This window comes from Homo sapiens, chromosome X, assembly GCF_000001405.40.
Source record: "Homo sapiens chromosome X, GRCh38.p14 Primary Assembly".
NCBI lineage: Eukaryota > Metazoa > Chordata > Mammalia > Primates > Hominidae > Homo > Homo sapiens.
In genome coordinates, this window is record NC_000023.11 from 24992631 (window position 1) to 25016089 (window position 23459).

The following is a 23459-nucleotide window of genomic DNA, read 5'->3' on the forward strand; positions in this document are numbered from 1 at the left end:
GTGGTTTCTAGTTCAGTGTGTTTCTTTAAGTCCAAAAAGGGTTTTATAAAGAGTAAAGTTGAAAAGAGATTTTTGGTTTACTGACATGGAACTAAAATATGTGAAGTAGAGTTAGTTTCCTTAGATGGGAGAATACTCCATTATTTTAATAGAGCTAGCATTTTATTTGATCAGTTGACTTTTATATAAAATATTTAAGAAAGGTCAACCTACAGATGATGGTCTAGTTCATCCCATATAGAAAAGAATGTAACTTTCATTATTTTGAGGTTTTAGATTCTAATCAATAGAAATCAACTTTTAAATGAGCAGTTCATTTTGTAGTCTGATAAAATATTTTGTGAATAATTAGTATCTAGGCTACCCTTTTTTTCCATCGTTTTCATAGGGGTTAGGGACAGAATATTTTTGGTAATTAACATATAACCACAGGGAATCAGAGCATGTAGAAAGGATCAGAGTAAATAAGCTTTATATACACGTTCCTCGAATGTTATTCTCAAGAAAAGTTTAAAAAGGAGATTAGCTTTGCTGATGTATTAAGATGAGTGATTTCTGGGTGATACTTCAAGCCATTAGAGTATATTTCAGTGACGCACTTGTGTGTAGGAAGAGCATTTCCTCCCCGATCTCGACAAAGGTTGGCTTTGTGGTGCTGGTGGCGGAGACAGCAGTTACCAGGGCCAGTGGCATCTCTGTGGACAGGGATGGGATGGCTGCGGATCTTCTCTGGCTCTTGCCTAATGGCATGTTGGAATCTTTTAACAGTTGTTATTGGGCACCTGACCTGCAGCACCTGAGGTGATGGCGTCGTTACTGATAGGCTGACTCTCAAAATCAAAGCAGGAAAAGGAATCAGGGTTTTACTGGCCACATTAACTGGCCTCCACCAGTTAACACCTGTATTTTCCCTTGAGTTCTAAAGTGGTGGATATAGTATTGACAGAAACAGGGTAACAGTTTAATGTGAGGCCTAACGTGGGTGGCCCAGGTGCCTAAAGGGGGAAGAGAAAAACCAGGAAGGGGTGACTCCTTCCCCCCACCAGCCCCTGTCCCTGACGCAGCCTGTGACAGCTAGTCCAGTTCTGTTTCCTAGAAGACCTTCCATATGTTATTGATTAAATTCTCTTTGGGGAAGCAAGTGGGAGCTTTTATCTGCATCTCTAACTGGCGTGGAATGGTGCCTTGGCCGTATTGACTGGCTATGGGATATGCTGGCGGTCACAGTTGTCTTTTAGGAGGAAGAGCACCGAGTGACGCTGGTTGTCATTCTAACTCTGCTGTGTGGCAGCGTAAATAGTCCCCTTTCTAACCAACCTGGTGGGAAAAGTCAATATCCCATCAGCAGAGGAGGTAAACACATCAGGAGCTATGTCCTCTCTTTTCCTCCCCTGCTCCGTATTACCGCAGCTCTTTAAATGTGCTCTCCCCAGTCATCAGATGCATTTGTGTCATTCACATGCACGGGGTTGCTGGCCTGTGGCTCTGGCCTGCCGGGAGGCAGCCGACACTGGTTGGGGCCATTGTTGTTTATTCCCAGACTCAGATCATTAGAACTTTCAAATTGTCTTTCTGTTGCAGCCCCCCTCTCTTTTTCCACCCCTTTTGGGCATTTTAATTCTCTATAAAACCTGTGGTTGTTCTTTAAAGGACAACTTATGTAATTCAGAAAAGGTTGTGGAGAGCAAATGCGAATGTATAGCCAAGAAACAAAAATCTGGAGTCTGAGTTTTCGTTTTCCGGGTGTTTTGTAGACTTCCCGTGTTGCTGTTGTTGGAGGTTTGCTTTCTGTGAGTGGCGCGCTCTCCCCTCCGTGTTTCCTTCCTGACCGGTTCCTATCGGGAGGTGCTGGGCAGCCTTGCTGCTCCCAGGCCCTTTGGCACAGGCCAGCATCTTATGGGGGCGGAGGCCTCACCTCAGGATCAGCTGATGTCTGAGGCCTGCAAATTTCTATGTGGGAGTAGTGATGTAGTGGCAGGGGGAGTGGGCAGAAGTGAGCCTCTCCTCAGGTGCGGGCTGGGGGTTCTGGCTACCTGGGTTTGCGTGTCTACAACTCTGATTACCTGCTGTGTAACCTTGGGTAAGTGACTTAACCTCCCAGTTTCCTCAGCCATCAAATGGGGATTGGGGGTGGGGGGGGCGCGGGGAAAGCAGCCTCTCCAGACACCTTACCAGGTTCCTGAACACAGCGTCATCCCCCACGTGATCACTCTCTTCACCCAAAAGATCAGACCTGAGCATCACAGCCCCACTGCTCCTTTAAAAGAACAACATGTAGGGCCGGGCGCAGTGGCTCACGCCTGGAATCCCAGCACTTTGGGAGGCCAAGGCAGGAGAATCACTTGAACCCGGGAGGCGGAGGTTGCGGTGAGCCGAGATCGCGCCACTGCACTCCAGACTGGGCAACAAGAGCAAACCTCTGTCTCAAAAAAAAAAAAAGAAAGAAAAAAAACAACATGTAGAAGTAGCAGGCTCTGGGAAGGGAAAGGAGAGGGGTCTTTTCTCTGGCTGGTAGCATCCTGCTCAGAAGGGAAAGGCCAGGGATGAATGGGTTAAAGGAGCAGGAGTGCCGCATACCCTGAGTTCACACAGTGTGGACAAAGAAGAGCAAAGAAATCTTGGCCATGGACAGACAGGTGCCCTCGGGGCCGCTCACCTCTCGCCTCTTTCAGCAAAGGAAATTTTGTTTAGCAGAGGGACTTGGGCTGGAGGGACTAGAAAATGCTTACTAGGCCCAGCTGATCTGGGGAGTTGGGGCTGGAAGGCACCAGAGGCCATAGCTCCCTTTGAGACTAGGTGTTTCCTGCCACGTCCAGACTTCGCAAGCAGTTGCATGCATGTGCTCGCAGCGCCGGTGAAAGTGGCGTCTGCGAGTAGAGCTCACCTTGTCTGCTGCACATGAGGGTGCACCTGCAGTTCACATCAGTAGAGGGTGGCCCTGTCCCCCAGTGCACTGAGTCAGCTAGGTGCTGAGAGGCGGACAGACAGGGGAAAGGAAGAAAAGCTTTCACAGAGGAATGGTCGGCGGGGGCTGCATCTGACTGGCCCCAGGGGTAGACCAGAGATAAGATGGTGGAGATACAAATGGAATCAGCATCCCCTTCTCTGGTGGAATACTGAATGTTCTTTAAAGAAACTACCTGAGACTTCTAATCTCTCTCTCTCTCTTTTTAGATAAATTGAAGAAGCAATTTTTTACCCCCAAAGTTCTGCAGGACTACAGAAAACTCAAGAACACAGCAGAGCAATTCTTGTCCCGAAGTGGCTACTCCGAAGTGAATCTGAGCAAACTCTTCGCTGGTTGTGCCGTGAAATCCTAAGGGAATCCCAGGAGTAACCAAGGAGGGGGTAGTTGAAAAATCCCAGCTTCCTCTGTGCCTCCACTCTGGCCCTAAATGCTCCTCCAGCATCTGTTTCTCCCTTGGGACTGTGTCTCATGTTTGTGTGAATGTAGACCAGGAAAGGGGGCTGCAAAAATGTTGAGTCTAATGTTCGTAAGCATCATAGAAATTCCTGTCTTCATATTAAGATGTACTGCTTTAAAACACAACTCCAGAGCCCCTCCCCAAGCTCCCCTCCCCAAGCTCCTGAAGACCCGGTTTCTGAGGGAGGGAAATTGCTACTTGGATTGAGAGTAGCTGGAATGTAAGTGACCCCAGGCTTTGCCTCAGGGCCTTTAGCCTATGTCCCCCCCACATAAAGAGAGCTTCTCAGAGCCTGACTGAAGAGCTGACGTTTTGCTTTTTCATATGCCAATTAAACCCGGTCTAAATCCAAATGCTTCTCCAGCCATCCAGGAGTGGCTGTCCTTTTCAGTCTTGTCTTTTATATAGGTAGCTGAGGGGGAAGATTTAGAAGCCTTGCACTCACTAAATAGATTAAACAGAGCAGGCTTGTTTGTTGAATTGCTCCAAAGTCCAACAGACACACACTGAGCAGGTGTTTTACACTCACATTCCCTTTTTGCCCCTTAAATAGAAAGTGCAGGTAAAGGTTTATACAACAAGAAAGCACATTGAAAATAATTTGATACTCTAACAATCCATTAACATGTGTAGGGGTTACGGTGAGGATCACTGTGTTGTATTCAGAAAAACGGGGAGAGGGATGCTTAATTGGCCCTGGCGCTTGCTATTTTTTTCTCATTTCTTCACAATAGGACCGTCTTTGGCAGCAGCAAAATGTATTTCAGTATGGCAGTCTTTCCTCTCTTACATTATTGGTAAGATTATACTAACAAAATGTTTCCCCTTGTACAATTATGCTGTGTTTTTAAAAAACATTGACCTGTGTGTTTTTATAAAAGAAAAAGTATGTTGTGCCTTCTTCTTAAGAATAAAGTTTTCTAAAGGGAAAGCAGTTGTGGTGAATCCTTACCAGGTGCAAAGAGTTGACTAGAGAGGCAGCAAGGAGTAAAATGTGAGTAGAGCCAGTTGCTGTGGCACACACCTGTAGTCCTGGCTACTCGGGAGGTGGAGGCAGGAGGATGGCTTGAGCCCAGGAGTTCAAAGCAGACTGGGCAACATAGTGAGGCCCCCACCTCTAAATACATACACACGTACATACATATACATATACATATACATATACATATACATATACATACACACACACATATATATATATACACACACATATATATACACATATATATATATATGACTAGAGGCCATCCCCTTTTCAAACCTCAGCCCAGTTTCTTCATAGCCACCTCTATCAGAACCCAGCTCAGGAGTGCACAGCATGATATTTGGTCGAATGTTCTGAGAAGCATTCAGAATTTCTGTGACTTTAGGTCATTTAAGAGATGAAGTATGGTTTCTTACGTGCTTTGCTGACTTAGAGAGCCAAGCCAAGAGCCCAGCAGCATCTCTTTTTGAAGAGCAAGGCCTAGGGCTCCTGAGACAAAGGCGCCCCCTAAAAAAGGTCCCCCTAGTGAAGGAATACTGATGGGTTAAGCAGTGGAGATGAAGCTGCCTTTTATGTTGCTTTTTCTTTTTATTTCTCCTCCTCACCTCCCCTCTGGCTCCCATCCCTCTCCTTTCTCCTCCTGCTCTTAGACTGAGATTCTAAGTAGAAACACTGTGGGTTTCGAGCCCTGTCAGTTAATTAACTAACTTGCTACTGTGTAAGCTCTGCAGCCTGTCACAAACTGGAGCACCCAAGGTGCTTCAGGAACTAAGGGATTAATGTGTTTTTATTGCTCCCCTGGTCAACTCTTTCAGTAATTGCTATTCTCACATAAGGTTAGAGAGATGGTTTTCTAAAGTGTGCTTTCTGAAGGGGAGTCATGTTTTCCTTGATTTCTGGGATCTGGGATTATATTAAATATAAATAGTTACCCTGAACTTGGTCATCAGGAAACTCCAAGAGACTCAAGTAACTTCTCACTGGATTGTTTCTTGTCCCTGCCTCTAGATTATAAACACCCTGGGGGCAAGGACCATTTCTCTAGAATGTGAGGCATTTCTAAGTACTGTCCCCGAAAAAAGCTAATGCAGCAGTTGATGTTTTCTTATTGGGATCTGTTAGAACTCTAGGCACCTAAGGATTCCAGAATTTTGTGGAAAGTTGAAACTGCAACTTTAAGAATTCCAGTGAATCTCTGTTAGAAGTTGGGAGTATCACATACTTATTTTTCTCTGAGAGATGTTTCTACTCCTTGATTTGTGTGGTTGATAGTGCACCCAGCAGAACTGATGCGGAAACTTTGCCCATCTTATTTGTAAGGGGAGAGGTGACCTGCAGGTCTCCATGGACTCCGGCACGTGTCCTAAACTCAAATTCTAAAAGTGAATGGATGAAGCAAACCAGGTTCACACTAGAGTGAGTGGCAGGGACTGTGGCAAACAGGAGTGAGCAGGTCCTGTCCAAAGGGGCCAGCAGCTACTCAGTGATGCTGGGAGGGACAGGGCCCAGTATGGCCACATGATCGAGTTTTCAAGAGAAGCCAGGAATCCAAATATTCCACAAAGCTTACTGATTTCTAAACCTTGACAACTAATTTTTTAAAATGAAACTTTAAACTCTGTGTGGGCCAGAGTAAACCTCTGGGCCAAAGTTTATCTGGGCCAGTTGGGAAATTATACCCTAAAAGAACCCTGCTCTTCTCAGAGCCCCCTGCCTCTGGAAAGGGCACTTTTTCTGTTTAATTTAGGAACTAGGATTTTACCTGTAGCAGATACTTGTACACAAGCTTATCTTGGACACAATCTGCTAACCCTCCACTCTTCTACATATAAGGTGCATAGAGGGGGGCCAGAAGTGGAAAATCCCACAGAGTATGCTTGATAAGATTTTAATTTGTCCAGAAAACAGATGGAGTTAATCTTGTGACTGTTGCCCAGGATGTGGGGGTTAATCAAAGTTCCAAGACTGGAATTTGGGAGAAGTTGAAAGGGAATGAATTCACTGCCCCTCACCATCACCCCTTTCTCCAGCCCTTACTACCTCTTACCTCCAACACACACACCATGCTCCTCAATATACTTCTTCAAACATCATTTAAAATTAGTTTGGCGGAAGATGCAACAGTAAGGAAACTCCAAAAACAGATTTTCCTGTTTGTTTTAGGGTTTTAAGAAAAACACCAAGCCCCAGACCCTCTTGTCAGGATGCCCGACCCTTTAATTCGATGCTCCCATCCCAAATTTAAAGCTGCCATTCCCTGCTCCTCACTGTCTCTCTCCCGCCCCCTCTTTCTTCTCTCTCTCTGTCTCTCTCTCTCTTTCTCACCCCCTCTCACCTAAATATTTCTTAATTGAACAGTTTGTGGTGGAGCTTCCTTATAGCAGTTTAATAGATTAACTCATCTCAGCCAGCCTCAAATTTCAGATTAAAATTCCTTCATCCCGAAGGCAGCATTATCAGGTTGTTGGAGGCTGTTTTCAAACCTTGGTTTTGAATAGCAGCGGCTCTGCATTAATTTAACCACTAAGCTAATAAGTAGGTTTCGTTTTGTTATGCTAAGCTTTATTGCTTTTCTTTTGATCAGAATGGTGTTGTTGAGCAAAGCAGCAGACAAGGCATTCTTTGATGAGGGAATTAGCGCTCCATTCTTCCTCTATTATTCATAGCGCAGTGGAATATGTAAGTACCTGAGGGTGTCAAAGGAGCGCAGGTTCTATTGCAAAGTGCTCGCCTTGTTTCTCTCAATAGCTGACTATGAGATGATAAACCGCTTAATACACTGTGCTAATTGGATGAGAGCAAAAAGAGATGGGAATTAAGGCGAGGCAAAAGGAGAAAGTGCAACCAGCCTTCAATTCACTCTTTCACCACTTTAACAGCACCAAAGGAGGCACAAGCTTTCTATAAGCAGACTAGAGGTTTTGTGCAGAGATAAAATGAACGTGTTAGTGGATTCAAGTAATACACTAATTATTGCACAGTATAAATACCACTACTGGTTTTATAACAGGGAGGTAAACTTCTTTTGAGAGGGTTATAGGATTGCTTGGCAGTGGTGTAGAACCTAATAAGGGCCCAGAGTAATAACCCCCTGGATTAACAAAATTGCTGCTTGTAGAAGTATGATTCAGGCTTTTACGAAGATTTCCGGAGAATGAATAAAAATGACTGAATGACATTTCTTAATGTATAACCGGTAATCACTCCCATATCTTTAAAGGAAAAAAATGTATACTTCAAACTGGACCCTTAATAATGTCCAGGGAGGGATAACAAGACTTCTTCCTTTGAAAAATGCTTCCCCCCACCCCACGCCCCCGCCCGCTCTCCCCACCGTCAGGTAGTGGGTTTTCTTCTTCCTGTCCCCCAGCCAGGCTGTCACTCTCAGTGAAATATGCAGTTGTTCTGGGGACTTCTGTGTTCCAAAATATTATTTTAGGCCCCATTTAAGACCCCCTTCATTCAGACACACTCACTTTTGGGTATACACATAAACACATGCTCATGGACTTTTTTTTCTCCTAAAGCAAGTTGGGCTAACCTATTATAATTTGTTTTTCTCTCACATCAGCCCCTTTTGTCACTCTAGTAAGATCACATTTAAAAGGATACTAAAAAGAGAACTACAGGTGCTTTGGCTCTTGATACTACAAATCAAAAACAACGTTAGCCCCAGTTGGGTGGGGGGTGATTAGTACCTGAAAAAAAATGGGAAACTGTTCCGAGCCAATTTCAGCATGGACTTTAGTTTAAGTCTGAGTTTCAAGTCCCAAGGAGGCCCAAAGTTTCTCAACAGTCACTCTCCCTAATTATTCCACTTACCTCCCCACACACCTAAGATGCCCGCCCTGACTACTGTCCACAGTTCGGGCCATGGGTAGTTGGTGATGGAAGGACACCTCTGATAATATTATGCCAAATGCGCCCTTTTTGCCTTCCAGGACCTCCTCCAGATCTGGCTAACCTGTCTGAAAATGTAGCAAATTAACTTACTCCTTTCCCTCAACCCTCCCACAGAGGCCTGTCCCAGGCTTCAATTACCCCTCACCCCAAGATGCTGTGGGGGTGGCCCTGGGAAAGCAGGTGTTGGGCCATTCTGCCTTGGGTGTGATAGGACACAGCCATGCCCTGAACTGGGCCCTCGCAAACTCCCTGGGGCTCTGCATGTCCTCCATGGTGGAAGAGGTTTGCTTAAGGTTGGGGGGGGGGGGTCAGCCGCTCCCAGCATTGTGACCAAGTTCCCAGATATTGGGGCCAAATTGGGTTGCCATTCATTAATAATGCTCACAATAAGATTAAATCATTCTGGAAAATCTCATAAAATCCCCCTAAGTACGCTCCAGTGGCTCTTTCCAATCCCCATCATTCAGCACTTGGGGAGGTTTGGAAGGAGAAGAAAATTGGTTTCTTTGCTTTTAATGCTGCTTTGAAAAGATACTCAGAGTTTTTCATGCGTGACATGTCACATGTTTAATGTGGACTTGCTGGAAGTCAGGGGGTCTTTAGCGTGTGATATTTATGGGGAATATTAAGTGCAGAATGAGGTCCCTCCAGCTGGGGAAAGTTGAAAGAATAGGAGGCCCAGGACTGGGCTTGTTTGCAGCATCAGAATGACATAGGATTAAGAGTTTGTAAAACAAGGCGAGGGGTTCTCATTGGCCAGTAATAAATGTAATCCTTGGAGGTAATTTCACGCAATTTGCTTCTGTTCCATGGAAGGGTCAAATGAGAAAAAATGACTTAAAAAAGAGTTCATTAACAGGAAGAATGGTACTGTTTCTCGTATACCATCCAACTAGCAGCCTAGAGGGGGGAAAAGAAGCCCTACTAAACAAAAAGGCAAAATCGACGCAAAATTGATATCGACCACAACACACACACACACACACAGACACACACACACACACACACACCCAACTCCTTTCCCTCAGTCTTCTCCAGCAGTCCCGTCTCCTCCCCAAACTCTCCAGCGGCCCTGACCACCCCAGGAAAGCGGCTTTCACTCAGGGAGAGCCTGTGGATGTGGAGTCTGAGGGTTTTAGACTCTCAGACCTCCAGTAAGGCCCTAGAAAGTTCCCACCGGGCCTACTAAACCCGGGAACGGAGTGTGTGGTAGGAATGGTAGTTGGCGGCCGCTCCCCATACCCCAGGCCGGGGCCCTTCTTGCGAGTGCCGCCCCCGTGAGTCCAGGGCTAGCGTTGGGTGGCGGTGATCCACCCGACGACCCAAGTGCCAGAAGCGGCCACCAGCCGGCGAGCCGGTTCCGTGAGCTCTCCAACGTTTCGGGCGGGCGGGGTCTCCGGGCGTCTGGACCCGGGGTTGGAGAGGAGGGGATTGAAGTTGGGGGTGAAGGGGGGTGCAGGATAGGAGGCGAGCCCGGGACGTGCGGGCTCCAGCGCCGAAGCTGCCGGGCGGGCTGCCCACACCCAGGTGGGCACAGCGCCTGGCAGGCCGCTGACCTCTGCCCAACCCTGCACCCTCCCCTCGGCCGCGCACACTTGCGCCCTGGGCCGCGAGGGGACCCGGCCCCCCTCCTCCAGGGCGCGCGCGGAGCCCGACGGCCCCAGCCCAGAGAGGCACCCGCGCCCCCCGCGGCGACCGACTGGCCGGCGGCGGCGGCGGCGTGGCGGGGCTGCCGGCCCCAGCTCCGCAATCGCGGTAGTCACGCCGCGGCACCCCCGCACCCCTCCCGCCTGCCCCTCTCCCCAAAGGTCCGGCGCGCTAATTACAGCAAATTGAAACTAATTAAGCTTCTCTTCCCTTTCCCATCACCCTGGGAGCGTCGGCGAGACCCAGCCCCCGCGGGCGGGCTTCCACCAAGCGGTCACCCGGAGGGGCGCGGGCAGGGCCCGGGGGAGGGAGAAGCTGCGGTCCCCGCCGCGAGGAGGGAGGCGTGCGCCGAGGTGGTTAAGGATTGCAAATCTGTTTGGGTCTCCTCACGAAATCTGAGTTGTTTAGATTTTTTTAAATGTATACATTTACCAATGCCTGGATAAGTGATGTAATGACATTTGTCGAGTTAAGATCTGCCATTTGGATACCCCTCGCTGCCTTTCCATCACTACTGCTCCCGCATGTTTCTCTCTCTCTCCCTCCCTCTCTCTCTCTCTCACACACACACGCACACACAACACAATACACACACACACTCCCTCCTCCCTGCGAACATGCCGTGGAGCCCGCCCCCTCGGAAGGGAGCGCCTGGGCTTCTCGCTCTCGCCATTACCTGTCATCTCGGACTGCGCACTTCACTTCCTGGCTACGTGGCACTTTCCAACAGCTCCCTTCGCCTTCCGAGCCAAGACTCCCGCTTGCTTCAAATTTCTGACTCCACCGTCAACAACGCCCACCATCCACCCACCCATCCTGGAACCCACCCCACCTCCGTGGCCCGGGACCCCCAGCTCCCGCTGTGACACGACCCGGGAGAGCCCAGGTGCGCGTGGAAAGTACCGCGGCGGCGTCCTTAACCTTCGTAGGAAATCCGGTTCCCTTTGAGGATCGGATTCAAACCAGGGGCCTCTGCCAGGAAAACGCGTGTGCAGATAATCCCAGGAGATGCCTGGACGCTGGAGCCCACCCTTGACTCCCGGGGGGTGGGGGTGGGGGCTTCTACTGTCCCCTCAGCGCCTGTATGGAGCATTCACACTTCGTTTTGTTAAACATATAATTTTTTTATTTTGAGCGTGACACTTCTCCACTAGATAGCAAGGAAAAGTGGTAACAATTACACATTACACAAAAGTACTGTACCATTGCCTTTATCTTGAAGGTTTCGGAAGCCTCTACAGTTAATAAGTTAAATAAAGGGCTTGAGTACATAAATATTTGTCTAGGAACCCTACCGTATCTACAACACAGTAAGAATCTACGGGAGGACAAACTTTTACCATACCACGCTGAGTGCAATTGCGTTATAACATTTCAAATATACAAAGCTCTGTTCTTTTTTTTTTTTTTTTAATAACAATGGTATGTACAGAATCAATAATCACAGTTTGGTGACTTCAACAGTCCATATTCTAGCAGAGTATTATTTCCCTTTGGTTTGATATAAAAACCTTGGTTGGTGTATGATAAAGAAGAGAACAAGAACAAGACGCCCCTTTCCTTTAAGTGCACTGTTAGCTATCTTACAGGCTCGCATTTGCTTCCCGGGCCCTGGCTTCACGCTGGGGCCCTCGCTGGGGAGATCAACTTCGAGCGCCAAAATGCTATTTAAAAAAAAAAAAGAAAGAAAGAAAGAAAGAAAAGAAAGGCTAAGTGGGGTGTCAGGAGGAAGAGGTTGGGCTTTTTAAATTTTTTACTTCAATATCAGGCGTCTGGGGGAGAAAACCTCCCCGATATTTTCAGGAAAGTAAGAACAAGAGAGAGTGGATGTTGGAGTTGGAGCGAGGTTGGCAGTAGCAGGGGCAGGGGCAGGGGCGGGTGGACAGCCAGCCGAGGAGGTGCCACGTCCCGGAGCGCCGAGGGCTGCCATGCCCGCATCCAGACTGCTGTGAAGGCGGCTGCGCTCTCTCAGTGCCGTCTCGGGAGTGTGCTGGTCCTCTGTTTCCATTTGGTCTTGAGTGGTGCTGAGTGAGGTGACCTTTCGGGGCGCGCGCGGGGCGCGGGTGTGGAGGGCAGCCTTTAGCACACCTCCTTGCCCGTGCTGGTGCCCGGCAGGATGTTGAGCTGCGTGAGCTGCGCCGCGTGCTCCTTGGCCTTGAGCCTCAGCGCGGCTATGCTAGAGGCGCGTCTGTCTGCGGCCGCCGTGGCCGGGTCGGCCAGGGCGCCCGATGCCACTGCGCCCTCCACGGCGGGTGTGGGCTGTCTCAGGAGCGCGGCCGCGGTCGACGCGCTGGTCAGGGGGGCCATTGTGGAAAAGAGCCTGCAGGGAGAGCAAACAGCGCGGTCATGGCCTCGGGAGCTGTGCGCGGCGCCTCGGGCAGCGTCTCCCGCCGCTTGTCGCCGGGGCAGCTGAGGGGCGCGGTACCCACGGGACCCGGATGGGCCGCGGCGGGGAAGTGGGCAGAGGGCGCGGGCGGAAGCTGGACCCCGCAGAGAGGGCTTTCCTGGGGCAGGGAACCGACTGGGGGGAAAAGACCGAGTCCAGATATTCCCCGAGGGGCCGGGCCGGGCCGGGGTCCACAGGCCGGCGTGGAGACCTCAAGCCCCACGGCCCAGTGGCGTGGATTCGGTGGTTTCGCTTAAACGGACGGTTTATTCCAAGGCCAGGGGCTGCAATGACACTATCTCCCAGGAGAGAATGCGGAAGGAGAAAAGGAGAGGAGAGCAAAAGAAGGGAAGGTGGAGGGTGGGAGGGGGGAGGAAAAAAAAGACGGAGAAGGTGGGATTCCAGCTGCCCGGACGCACGCCGCAGGCTCTGAGATCTCCCTCCGGCTCCTTGGCCCGGGACTTTCTGCGCCCTGAAGAAACAGGCCTAGCTCGCCGGCCTCCCGGGCCACCCGCGCCGCCGCGGCCGCCCTTCCGCGCGGGACTCAGCTACCCGCGTCTGGCCAGCGCCTGCGGGTGAGAGTGAAGGGCGACCGCCTGTTGATTTCGGCTCCACGGGCGGGTGTCACCTGCCAGCAGCCCCACATCCTGGCGCGGCGACCCCAGCTGTCTTCCCCGCGCCCCTGTAGCCTCTGGCCTCAGGGAGCCCCCGACCCACGACCCTGGCGCGCGGCGCAAGGCGATGCCCAAGCCTGGGACCCACGCCAGCGCCACCGCCTCCAAGCGGCGACCGAATTACTCCACGTGACGCTTCCACCCCATGCACACAGCACCGGGACATTAGCTGTGGCCGGAGCCGCCCGGGGCCACCGGACACCACCCCCACGCCCACCGCCTTGGAGCGCCCGCGAGCTTTCCCGACCGCCTCCCTGAGGGGTCTGGCTCCAGGCCCGCGGGGCCAATTCCGGATTTCCAGGGTTAGAAATGAGCCCACCTGGGCTCACCGAGCGCCGCCTCCTTCTCCCAAGCCCACTGCTCACTCCTCGCACCACCCCAGCCCAGACCCTCTTCCAGCCTCTCCGAATCTCGCAACTCGGTCCTCCAGCCACGGTTCGCCTGGGTTTACAAGTCACTTGTCAGAGGGAAAAAGTGGAGGGAGGGGAGAGACAGAACTTTAAGATTTTTCTCAGAAAGAAATGATAAAGTGTGACCCGGAGGTGGCGTAACATGCCCTGGTTCCATTAGGTAAACTGAGTCACTAACTCTGCTTCAGTGCGCTCGCTGTTTATTTTATTGGTTTGTTATAAGAAACTAAATTTACTCCGAGTCTTAATTTTCTGTAAGATGATTTTTTGTTAAGCAGCTGCGCAGTTGGATGAATCTATTATTTCTTTGTTCTCCCAAAGAGTGATCATTGAAGCTGCATCCAGTTTTATTTTCACTGCGCTAACACAATACATCCCTCCTTTGTTTCTTTGTCTGTGTGATTATACAGACTTTTTATTTCCTCATTCGATGTTCATTAAAGAAAGGGAGTTATAAGATGAACTGTTTCTTTTATTTCGTTGTCTTGTACTGCCGTGTAGATCGGGGCTTGCACATATGGGGGTGTCGTTGGCAGCGGGTCACTTGAGTGACAAGGAAGATGGAGTCTGGGGCAGAAGAAAGAATTCTGTGCACCCAGAGGGCCTGGTGGCTCCAGGGCTCCCATGGGGATCAGGGCTGTGTTCCTCAGGCTGCCAGGTTGGGGGGCATAAGGAAGAACTTTTGCAAAACTTAAAAAGTCGTCCCTGCTCTGTACCCTACACCTGTACATATTTGCTCGCTTACCACCTATGGTGGGACTTGTTGCAGCCTGCAAATGGTACTTTTACAGCTTTCATTCTCGGTTGTCACGGTTGTCGTTACTGCCACTGCCTTCCCCTTTCCCATTAAGTTCCAAGTCAATACCTTCAAGACCCACATTTTTTTTTTTGAGGCTCAATTAGAGAGTATTTTCTTTGGCTACAGTCTCTGAGGTTGGGTCAAAGAAAAAGATGTGTGTAACCCTGTTTGACTCCTGCCTCCTCCCTGCCCCCAGCCTCTGTGTGTATGAGAGACAGACAGACAGACAGACTTCCGAGGCTGCGCGTTACCTGCCGAATGCCGGGCTGATGAAAGCTGGGTGTCGGAACACTGCCGCTCCGAGGAAAGTGCTCAGGCCCAGCGGCGCCCCGCTGGGCGGCAGGCTGGCCGAGCCCGGAGGCGGAGGTAGGCTCGGGAAGGCGGCGGCGGCGGCGGCGGCAGCGGCAGTCCAAGCGGAGTCGAGCGCCGGGTGGTGCGGAGGGAAGGGGCTGGCGTCCAGGTAGGGGCTGAGCGGGTGGGTGGCGGAGAGCGGCCCCGGGAAGGGCAGCCCAGGGGGGTGGGTCTGCGCGCCTGCCTTCTCCCGCTTGCGCCACTTGGCCCGACGGTTCTGGAACCAGACCTGCAAGGCAGAGAGAGCCCAGGGTCGGCGCGGCTCGGCCCGGCGGGCGCACCGGGCCCCTACCCGTCCCTTCCCTTGGCGCGCTGCGGGGCCCCCTTCCTTTCCACCGCGGCCCGCGCCCACCTGCCCCTCTTTGGCCTCAGGTTGTTTTCGGACGCGTCTGGGGCCAAATGAGCAGTGAATAGGAGCCGCAACTTCAAGTCAGCAGGAAACAGGACAAGCAAACCCTTTCTGCCGGCATTCCACCTGGGCCAGTTTTCCAAGTTTAAGGAAAGTGATTCAGTGTGTTTAGAGTTGGGGAAACCAAAGTTTAAACGTCTGTGCTGACGCTTGCTAGGATCTTTAGGCAGGTCACTTAAACCTCTCTGAACCTCAGTTTTCGAATCTGTAAAATGGGGATAATAAAACTTCACTCATAAGGCTGTTATGAGAACTGGGTAAAATAAGGCAAGTGAAAGCATGCATTCAATGGTGACTCTAGGGAATGGGCAGCCACCAAGAGATGAGGGACATGCTTGTTTTACTGCATATCAGCTATTTTCACCTATTTCAGATTTACGCAAGAGCTGGCAAAATTCTTGCTCTGTATGGAAGAGGAAAGTGGAAAGATAGTTCATTTATTCTTTCCAGAAACATTTATTGAACACCAAAGAGCACTATGCTGGGTTCTGGGGTTCAGAGAGGGATGAGAGGGAGGGAAGAAAGGCTCGAGTTAATTAGCAAGCATACATTTCAGGGGGTCAATCCTCTATGAAATGAAACAGGGATACACAACCTGCTCTTGGCAGGGGATCCCTGCAGGACCCAGTTCTATGCAGGAAGGCACTGACTACATGGATGAAGCAGGCAGCAATACCTGGGCGCATAGAAATCAGAGGGCATGATAGGTGTAGACTTTTCACATCTTCAGAGCTAACAAGTCTTTTATTTCCTTTTGGAGATGTGTTTTAAATCGGCTATTTAAATAAGATAGTTTTAGGCTTGGAGGGAGGTTTTCAGCCTGAGGTATTTTCCTAATTGCTAATAGAAAGCGGTTTTAATGGAGACCTTTACCTGAAACATGGCAGCTACCATCATCTAAAAATAAACCCCAGGAGCATGAAATTATTTTTATGTGACCTGCTCATCACACCCACAGCTGGGAAGATATGCTCCTTCTCCCCTGAAGGCATTAATATTTTTAGGGCTGGGTTTATAACTGCACACAAGTCTGAAAATTAAGAATGAACTCCAGGGCTATACAGAGTTATATTAAAATATAATGTAAATTATCCCAGAGGAATATATTTTAAAATGTGAAACACATCCATATTTTTCAAATCTACACACTGGGGCTTGTTGTTACCAGCACTAGCATCTAAGCTTGGTTTGACTTCTAGACAGCCCCCCAGGGCAAGAAAAATCAAGAATCCAAATCGGTCAATTACTTCCAAGTCGGCCAAAAGGGGGCCCATTCACACCATTCCACAGCCTTCAAAATAATCTATTTGTGAATTTCAGAAACACTTCAGTGTGGAAACCCAGAGGCTTGAAAAAGTAAGACTGTAGATGGGACCGGACTGGGTGGGCAGCTTTTGTGTAGCCAAATCTGTCTAGACAAGAATATCCGCCACTCCTTGATCGCAGTGAAAGAAGAAGGGGAACTGGGGGCAGTGGACTCAGAATGCCCTCAAAGAACGTGGAAACCTTTTTACAGACAGATCGTCTCTCCCGGCTCAACTGCAATTATCAAGATGTCCCCCTGCAATTCCTCATTATTGAATTAATACCTCTGAGGCCCCCCAAAGGTAAACGAAAGGACTCTAATAATTCATATTCACTTAATTACATCTTCTCCAGTGAATAGGGGGAGAGGAGAAAGGGAGGGGGCGCTCTCTTTCTTTTTAAAAGTTATTTAACTTTCCCACGACTTGTTCCCCTGAGCTGAAAATACGGAGTTGCTGTCACATCTCTGTTTGACAATGGAGAAATGTGTCAACAGAAAGGAGGGGACAGGCCTCATCATTAGCCCTCTAATGCAAGAAGCTGTTGTGTATTAAATGAGCCATATGGAATTTATTGTGCTTTATCAGCGCTTGATTTTGACTGTAAAGTGATTCACTCAGCTCCTAACTCGGGGACATCTGTTTTCTGTTGGCCATCGGGGCTGCTCAGTGTTGATCGTCTCTTTGGTTATGAGGCCTGGGTTCGGAAATGCACTCTGGTATGGGGCTGCAAACACCTTTAATAGCATTGCACTCACTCCCTATTAGATCAATGTGGGTTCATTGCTATAAAAAATGGGAAATCAAATAGCATTAGCCAGCTCCTTGTGCGGGGCGGAGGGGAAATCAAACAGCATTTTGCCTTCAAATGGCCCTGTTTGTTCTAGCACTAAGTGGGCTTTTATGAAGCCCGATTGGAGACTTAATCGCAGCCAAATACCTGCTTGGAACTGAGCGGATTTGTCTAACAACCAAATCCATGCTCCATCCCATTATTTCAATCAGGAGAAGTAGATCGGTGGATTGTTTCCTATAGGAGCTTTGGGGCTAGGGGGTCCCAAACTGCAGTCTCAGGGACTCTAAAGCCCTTGTTCTGATCCTGGACTCCTTCCTTGGGCTCCCAAACCCAGAAACCTCCCGCTTCCACCTCCCATGTCTTAAGTTTTAAATATCTTTGTGTGTGAGAGAGTGCTTGGGTCTACTTTTCTGATCCTGCTTCTCTTGGTTTTGTGAAGGGGATCTCACCCCCCGCACCCCCCCGCCACCAACCCATCTCTCTCTCTCCCACTGGCCCCCAGCCCTCCTCCCTCCCTCTTCCCTCTGTTGTGCAGCTCACCTGGACTCGGGCCTCGGTCAAGTCCAGCCTCATGGCCAGTTCCTCCCTATAAGAAAGCAACACACAGACAGGAGGTCACTGCAGGCCCCAGCAATGCCCTCTCAGCTATTTCCTCCTCTATGGCAGGCCTACTCCACCAGGGTCTCCCCTGGCTGCCTGCCCCCCACCCCCAAACATATGGGCATTACCATTCCATCACCCCCTGGAGTGCCAACTATTTGACTGAAAATGCAAAAACACGAAGCACATTACCAGATATAGGATATTATCTATTATATCATACTACATTCGTGTGTGACAACCAAGGGTGGCTTCAAGTCTACAAACCTGGGTACACAGGTTCTCTCTCACTGTCTTAAGCCAGAGTTAGACAACACACACACACATACACACACACACACTGCTTATACCCTGTTTTGTCCTAATATTAAGTGGGATAGGAACTCAGCACTTAACTAAGAAAATATTTTTCTGTCCTCTTGGTTTCCTTCTGCCTTCTTTTTAAAAATTTCTCTTCCCTCCTTCTTCCTTCTTCTCTTTCCAGCTCTATGCCTTTCCCTCCATCTCTCTCTCCCCCGCCTTCCTCCCTCCATCATCCCCTTGGGTCACACTCCCCATTACCCTCTGCAGGTATGTTAAGCTTGTTAAGAGTTCAGTGGGGTAATTTTTCGATTAAACAAAATTCTGCGCACCTCCTGACTCCAATGCCCACTACAAACCCTGCCCATCTCAGGGGAAGTCAATTTAACTGAAACCCTACCCCATCATTGCAGTTATTACTGCGACAATTAAGGCAAATAGGAAACCATTAAGATGCTGTAAAACGGCTTACAACCTGTTTACCGAAAATATGACCGCGCCGAGAATAATTGGCCCTCCGGCTCGCTAATATGAAAGAGCGGGGCCGCCGAAGCCTGGGACCTGGGGTTGCCCTGCCGGTAGGCCCCCAGTCCACACCTGAAACTTCAGCACCAGAGGTAAACCGTCTCCATAAGTGCCCTCCGTTGCCGTTGCCCCCAGCTACAGTGGGCATCAGCAAATCTAAAGCGGCACTCCAGGCTGGCTCAGGGCCGGAGCCAAGGGGCTCAAACCCCTGGGTTGGAAAGAGGTGGGGGTGGGGCGGGGAAGAGGAGCTGCCCCTCCTCGTGCACTTCGGTCCTCCCCCGCCCCTAAGCCCGCCAGAAGCTAAGAAAGGGCGGACGTGGATGCCAACTGACACCAGCTCAGTTTCTTCTTTGGAAATACACACGTACGATAAACGCAAAACGCTGGTCGGCCAATTCGCTATTTGACAGCACACATAGGTTTTCAAACTTATTTCCTTTTTTAAAGATAAGGAAAGGACTGGGTGACACAGGGGAAGACCAAGTGTAGCCCAAGGGATGACCAGGTTTAAGTGCCTTTGCCTGGCATTAAGTCTGCTCTTTTCTGTTTCTGGTTGGGAGAGAGTTAGGCAATTGCCAGGCCAACTACATTTTGGAGTAGCTCGGCCTCCCGAGCCCTAAGCAGCGATTTCTCCTCTGGTTCAAAGGGGCGGGCAGCATTCCCCTTCTAAAATGCACATTGAAAAGCTGCGCACGTCTCCTTCGAAGGAACTGCCCGCGCTTGACAAGCCCCGCGCTAGGCAGTCACCGATCCCTTTCTCCCCCTCACTGGGGGACGTTTGCCCTAAGACTGGCTCCTCGCCTGAGCTGAGAACTTGGCCTTGGGGTGGGAGAGAAGGATCCCTACCCGGGCCGGCGCCCCAGGTGGTGAATAAGCTGGGGCCGAGGGTCCAGTCATCACACAGGCACATGTTTCCCAGAAAAACAAGTGGGAGGTGGAGCGTGACCAGGTCGAACACCCGGCTTGGACACTGATCCAAAGAGAAAATTCCCCCAACTGCTTTGTCTACTCCCTGCCAGGCTTCCAGCAATCATTGTCCACCCGGTAAACCCGTTTACATTAAACGCACGGTGGGTTTAATATGTGTGTCGGGAGAGGACAGAGAGTAGAAGGGGAGATTCTGGCTGGGGCCCCTCAGGTGTTCAGACACCAAACACTGCCCAGTTCTGACTTCCTTTGGTTATTTCAGGAGTCCTGAAACGACAGAACTCGGATCTTTTTAAAGGCCTTCTCCGCTGGCACGGGCTCCAGCTTCACTGCGAACTGCGTAACTGATACCCACCAGGCCCCTGGGGCACCAGGCGGGGGTGGCGAGCGCACAGCACAGCGACCAAAAATAGCCCCTGCTTTGCTCTGTCTGCGGACAGCGCTTCCTGAGCCTCGCCGGGGACCTAGCCGGGACCGCAGCTCCGGAGGCCTTGTGTCTGTGCCCTCTGCTGTGCGCGCGTCTCCAAGGTGGCGCTTTCGGGCGCTCTTTGGAGAGGCTGTTTCTTTTCCTCTCTCTAACTAAAACTTGTAATTTGAAAACATTAAACTGCAACGACCTTGGGAAGAAGATAAACCATTCCAGCCTAAACTTAAAGCCCGAACCGGGGTGGGGGTCGGGGGAGTGGGTAGTTTGGGTGAGCAAGGGTGGGTGTGTTGGGAGGGCGCTCTTCCACAGAGTCCAGGAGCCAAGCGTCCGCCCCGAGGCCGGGGCCCCTGCCAGCCCGCTGTCCCTCCCTGGGGCCCGCGTGCGCTCTCTGCCGCTGCGACCGCGACCACCCTACGCGCATACCTGGTGAAGACGTCCGGGTAGTGCGTCTTCTGGAAGGCCCGCTCCAGTTCCTCCAGCTGGTAGCTGGTGAACGTGGTGCGGTAGCGCCTCTGTTTGCGTTTCAGCAGCCCCTCCTCCGAGTCGCTGCCCGCAGAGAGGCACACGCTGTCCTCGCCGTCCTTGCCCTCAGCGTCTTCCGGGTGCAGCAGCAGCTCCTCCTTGGGTGACAGCTCCCCGCCCTCTGTGGCCACTGCAGCGGCAGCTGCTGCGGCCACGGCGCCAGTGGCGGCCACAGGACAGCGCCGGGGCTCCTTGAGCAGCGCGCGGGCGTCGTCCTCCAGCAGCTCCTCCTCGTCGTCCTCCAGCAGTTCCTCTTCCTCGTCCTCATCTTCTTCGTCCTCCAGCAGCTCCTCCTCGTCGTCCTCGGTGCCGGTGCCACCACCCGCAGCCGGGGCGCTGCCCGGGCCGCCGGCCACGCCGAGGCGCTCCTCCGGGTGCGTGACGCCCCCCGGGCCGCCCAGCTCGTCCAGCGCGGGCGGCGGCGGCACGAAGGGCGCCCCGTTCTCGCGGTACGACTTGCTGCGGCTGATGCTCACCTGCGGCGCCTGGCTGATCTTGAGCGTGTCCCAGGCCGCGGCGGCCGCGGCCGCGGCTGCCGCGGCGGCCCCTGCGCCGTCCGGCCGTTCCCCGGGCCGCGCGGTTGGCGGTGGCGGCGGAGGGGCCTCCCCGCGTGGACCCGCCGTGGCCGTGGCGGCCGCTGCCGCCGCCGCCGCCGCCGCCGCCGCCGCCGCTGCCGCACCCTGAAGGAGGCGGCCCCCGCCCGGGCCGTACAGGCGCCGCAGCTTGGGCGGCAGGTGCAGCTCGGCCTCGAACGGGGCGCTGCTGCTCTTAGGGGAGCCTGCGGGCAAGGGAGAGCTATCAGCCAGCCGGCCGGCCGGGGAGTCCCAGCCAGGGCTGCTGCCGGGGCCCGCCCGCAGTTGCTCCCCCAGTGCCTAGGCCCAGGCGTGCGGGGACCGCGCACCACCAGACTTCGACGCCTTGGCCTCTTTCTCCACTTTTCTTGCTTTTTCTTTTTCTTTCTTTCTCTCCTTCTCCCTTTCTCTGGGTTCCTTCTTTTTTCCCCTTTCCTCTCCCTTCTTTCCGTTCCCTCTCTCACTCTCCCCCTTTTATTTCCTATCTTCCTTCCCTTATCTATTCCTCTTGCCCCTCTCTCCCTTCCTTTTCTCTCCTTACCTTTTTTCTTTTTCTTTCTCCCCCTCCCTTCTTTTCCTCACCTCTCTTTCTCCTTCTCTCCCCCTTTCTTTCTCTTTTTGCAGGCTTTCTCTCCCCTCTCTCCTTCTTTCTTCTTTATTCCTTTCTCTTTCCCCTTTCCTACTCTCTCATTTTTATTTCCCTTCCCACGTCGGGGCAGAGGAAAATCCGAAAACATTCTACAACTTTAAAAGAAAATCACCACTATCCTGAAAACTTTGCGCATGACCTCTGCCCGCTGCTCCACCATGAGGGCAAGGGTTGGCAAGAGGGGTGCAGCCCTGAAGGCGACCGCTGCGGGGCGGGGTGGGGGAAAGCGGCCCTGTGGCCCCAAGTGCAGGCCGCGCCCCAACAGCCCACAGCGGGAGAGGGTGGGGGGGCTTCTTGCACAAAAAGGCAAAGAAAAATCATCCTGGCAAAAATGTTCTGGGAAAGGTCTGGGGCAGAGAGGGAGTGGGAGTGCAGCAGGCGCAGGCCGCTCCTTCCTTTTGAGGAAGCGCCTGGCATAGGTGCCACTGCAGGCTAAAAAAAGAAAAGAAAAAAGTCAGTTTTATTTAAATGCCCCCTTCTCAACCGTCTGCTCCTGCCATCCAAATTGCGCTATGGCCGGACCGCTGGTTTTTGGATTTTAAAAGAAACCAACAGTTCTTTCCTTTCCCTGCGACACCTCTGCAGCAAGCTCGAGGCGAAACTTGAGGATAACAGGTTCGGGGTAAAAGGACATTTGTTCTGGAATTTTTAATTTCAGAAAAAAATAAAATATTTTAAACAGCTCGTCTATTTTAAAAAATAAAATAGCAGAGAAAAAATTAGCATCCAGAAGTCACACATTTCATACATTTTAAATACATTAAGGAGCATTTGGAGAATCCCAGGAAGATGTTTTCTGCAAAGCTTGGGTTTAAAAGGTCACAAGTAATCTGCAATTAAAAAAATAAAACCAAAACATTGCATATACAGAAATCTTCCAAAGAGGAAAGGCCAAGGCTCACTCAGCCTGGAGACCCCGATTCACCAGCTTTTGGGCTTCTTGTCTTCATCAAGTTGGTGCTACAAGGGTCCACCGGCCATCTACTGTTTCTGACCTGTCGCCGCTCTTCAGAGCACACCCAAGGCCACCAAAAGGGGCATTTAAACAACCTAACGATCAACACCGAAAAGCTAAAGGCTCCCTAAGCGAAAACGGGCCTTTTTCTGGAAGCAGGGAGGGAGGGAGGGAGAGACAGCCCTGGCTAGATGTTTAACGCTCTTTGAGGCAGCAGGCCTCAGAGTTATGCCCTCTCCTTCCTTCCTCTCCAAATTGACAATTCCAGGCCACTGGCCCCCGAACACCAAACATCCAAATCAGGGCCCAATGCCCTTAGTAAGTGCCTGACGGGAGCATCCTTACCTTGCACGGCCTTTTCCGGGTCGGCGCGGCTGGTCAGCGGAGCAGGCAAGCTCTGCGCGGCTCCCAGCAACCGCATTTTGCACGGGCTCCTCCGGCCCAGGATGCTGTCGATGCAGTAGGAGGAGAGCAAAGTTGGAGATTTACTTTTGCACTCGGGCCTCTCGGAGCAGCCCTCCTCCTGGTACTGATTGCTCATGGCTGGGGCTTTTTCCCAGGGCGCAGAGAGCGGATCGCCGGCTGCCTCTCCCGGAGGGTGGGATGGATGGGTGTGTGTTGGGGGTGGGGTTAGATAGCGGGTTATAACGGATATTATTGCGATCTTTGTGCCTTTCTGCCTCCCTTGGTTGCCGGCTGCCGGCTCCCGCCCTGCCCGCGGCCCGAGCTCGCCCTCTCCGCGCTCAGGACAAGCGGTAACAAGTGTAGTGAGCAGCGGGCGCTGAGCTCTGGAGTCTCTCTCCTCCACGTGCTGAGAGGCGCCCTCTGATTGGCTCTCGCCAGAGGCCGGGCTGCGTCGGCCTGTGGGCGCGGCGCAAAGCCCGGACTGGATT

General features: G+C 51.5%; 2 protein-coding genes across 9 annotated transcripts in view, besides 11 other annotated features; one reads left to right on the forward strand and one right to left on the reverse strand.

Annotated features, from left to right (window-relative positions):
• Nucleotides 1–4356, forward strand: part of POLA1 (DNA polymerase alpha 1, catalytic subunit) — a 303069-nt gene extending 298713 nt beyond the window's left edge. For all 8 annotated transcript variants that reach the window (NR_165483.1, NR_165482.1, NM_001440806.1 and 5 more), the window contains one exon: nt 3175–4356. Coding sequence is in view for 6 of the 8 variants with exons in the window: in NM_001440806.1 (NP_001427735.1) it covers nt 3175–3320 (146 nt within the window). In the remaining 2 variants the exon portion in view is untranslated. The remainder of the gene's footprint in view (nt 1–3174) is intronic.
• Nucleotides 6320–8009: an enhancer, noted in NCBI's record as "VISTA enhancer hs122". NCBI's record gives its function as "enhancer in: forebrain[6/6]" and the evidence as "EXISTENCE:transgenic organism evidence [ECO:0001131][PMID:17130149]".
• Nucleotides 6425–6925: an enhancer, noted in NCBI's record as "OCT4-NANOG-H3K4me1 hESC enhancer chrX:25017172-25017672 (GRCh37/hg19 assembly coordinates)". NCBI's record gives its function as "activates a minimal SCP1, AML or CMV promoter by ChIP-STARR-seq in primed H9 embryonic stem cells {active_cell/tissue: H9 hESC(primed)}" and the evidence as "EXISTENCE:reporter gene assay evidence [ECO:0000049][PMID:30033119]".
• Nucleotides 6926–7426: an enhancer, noted in NCBI's record as "OCT4-NANOG-H3K4me1 hESC enhancer chrX:25017673-25018173 (GRCh37/hg19 assembly coordinates)". NCBI's record gives its function as "activates a minimal SCP1, AML or CMV promoter by ChIP-STARR-seq in naive and primed H9 embryonic stem cells {active_cell/tissue: H9 hESC(naive and primed)}" and the evidence as "EXISTENCE:reporter gene assay evidence [ECO:0000049][PMID:30033119]".
• Nucleotides 8124–9785: an enhancer, noted in NCBI's record as "VISTA enhancer hs145". NCBI's record gives its function as "enhancer in: midbrain (mesencephalon)[4/9] | forebrain[8/9] | eye[4/9]" and the evidence as "EXISTENCE:transgenic organism evidence [ECO:0001131][PMID:17130149]".
• Nucleotides 10270–10804: an enhancer, noted in NCBI's record as "H3K4me1 hESC enhancer chrX:25021017-25021551 (GRCh37/hg19 assembly coordinates)". NCBI's record gives its function as "activates a minimal SCP1, AML or CMV promoter by ChIP-STARR-seq in naive H9 embryonic stem cells {active_cell/tissue: H9 hESC(naive)}" and the evidence as "EXISTENCE:reporter gene assay evidence [ECO:0000049][PMID:30033119]".
• Nucleotides 11064–23335, reverse strand: ARX (aristaless related homeobox). The gene is made up of 5 exons (NM_139058.3): nt 22912–23335; nt 20292–21168; nt 17630–17675; nt 14481–14809; nt 11064–12280 (listed from the first exon to the last, which is right to left on the reverse strand). The coding sequence occupies exons 1-5, from the start codon at nt 23105–23107 to the stop codon at nt 12040–12042; spliced, it is 1689 nt and encodes a 562-aa protein (NP_620689.1). The 5' UTR covers nt 23108–23335; the 3' UTR covers nt 11064–12039.
• Nucleotides 11433–12007: an enhancer, noted in NCBI's record as "H3K27ac-H3K4me1 hESC enhancer chrX:25022180-25022754 (GRCh37/hg19 assembly coordinates)". NCBI's record gives its function as "activates a minimal SCP1, AML or CMV promoter by ChIP-STARR-seq in naive and primed H9 embryonic stem cells {active_cell/tissue: H9 hESC(naive and primed)}" and the evidence as "EXISTENCE:reporter gene assay evidence [ECO:0000049][PMID:30033119]".
• Nucleotides 12008–12581: an enhancer, noted in NCBI's record as "H3K27ac-H3K4me1 hESC enhancer chrX:25022755-25023328 (GRCh37/hg19 assembly coordinates)". NCBI's record gives its function as "activates a minimal SCP1, AML or CMV promoter by ChIP-STARR-seq in primed H9 embryonic stem cells {active_cell/tissue: H9 hESC(primed)}" and the evidence as "EXISTENCE:reporter gene assay evidence [ECO:0000049][PMID:30033119]".
• Nucleotides 20900–20935: a repeat instability region, noted in NCBI's record as "repeat instability region; expansion of polyalanine repeat tract 2 can result in various intellectual disability disorders with variable clinical presentation". NCBI's record gives the evidence for it as "EXISTENCE:nucleotide sequencing assay evidence [ECO:0000219][PMID:12874418, PMID:11889467, PMID:11971879]".
• Nucleotides 20900–21067: a biological region, named in NCBI's record as "aristaless related homeobox polyalanine expansion region".
• Nucleotides 21020–21067: a repeat instability region, noted in NCBI's record as "repeat instability region; expansion of polyalanine repeat tract 1 can result in various intellectual disability disorders with variable clinical presentation". NCBI's record gives the evidence for it as "EXISTENCE:nucleotide sequencing assay evidence [ECO:0000219][PMID:17664401, PMID:11889467]".
• Nucleotides 21024–21067: a tandem repeat.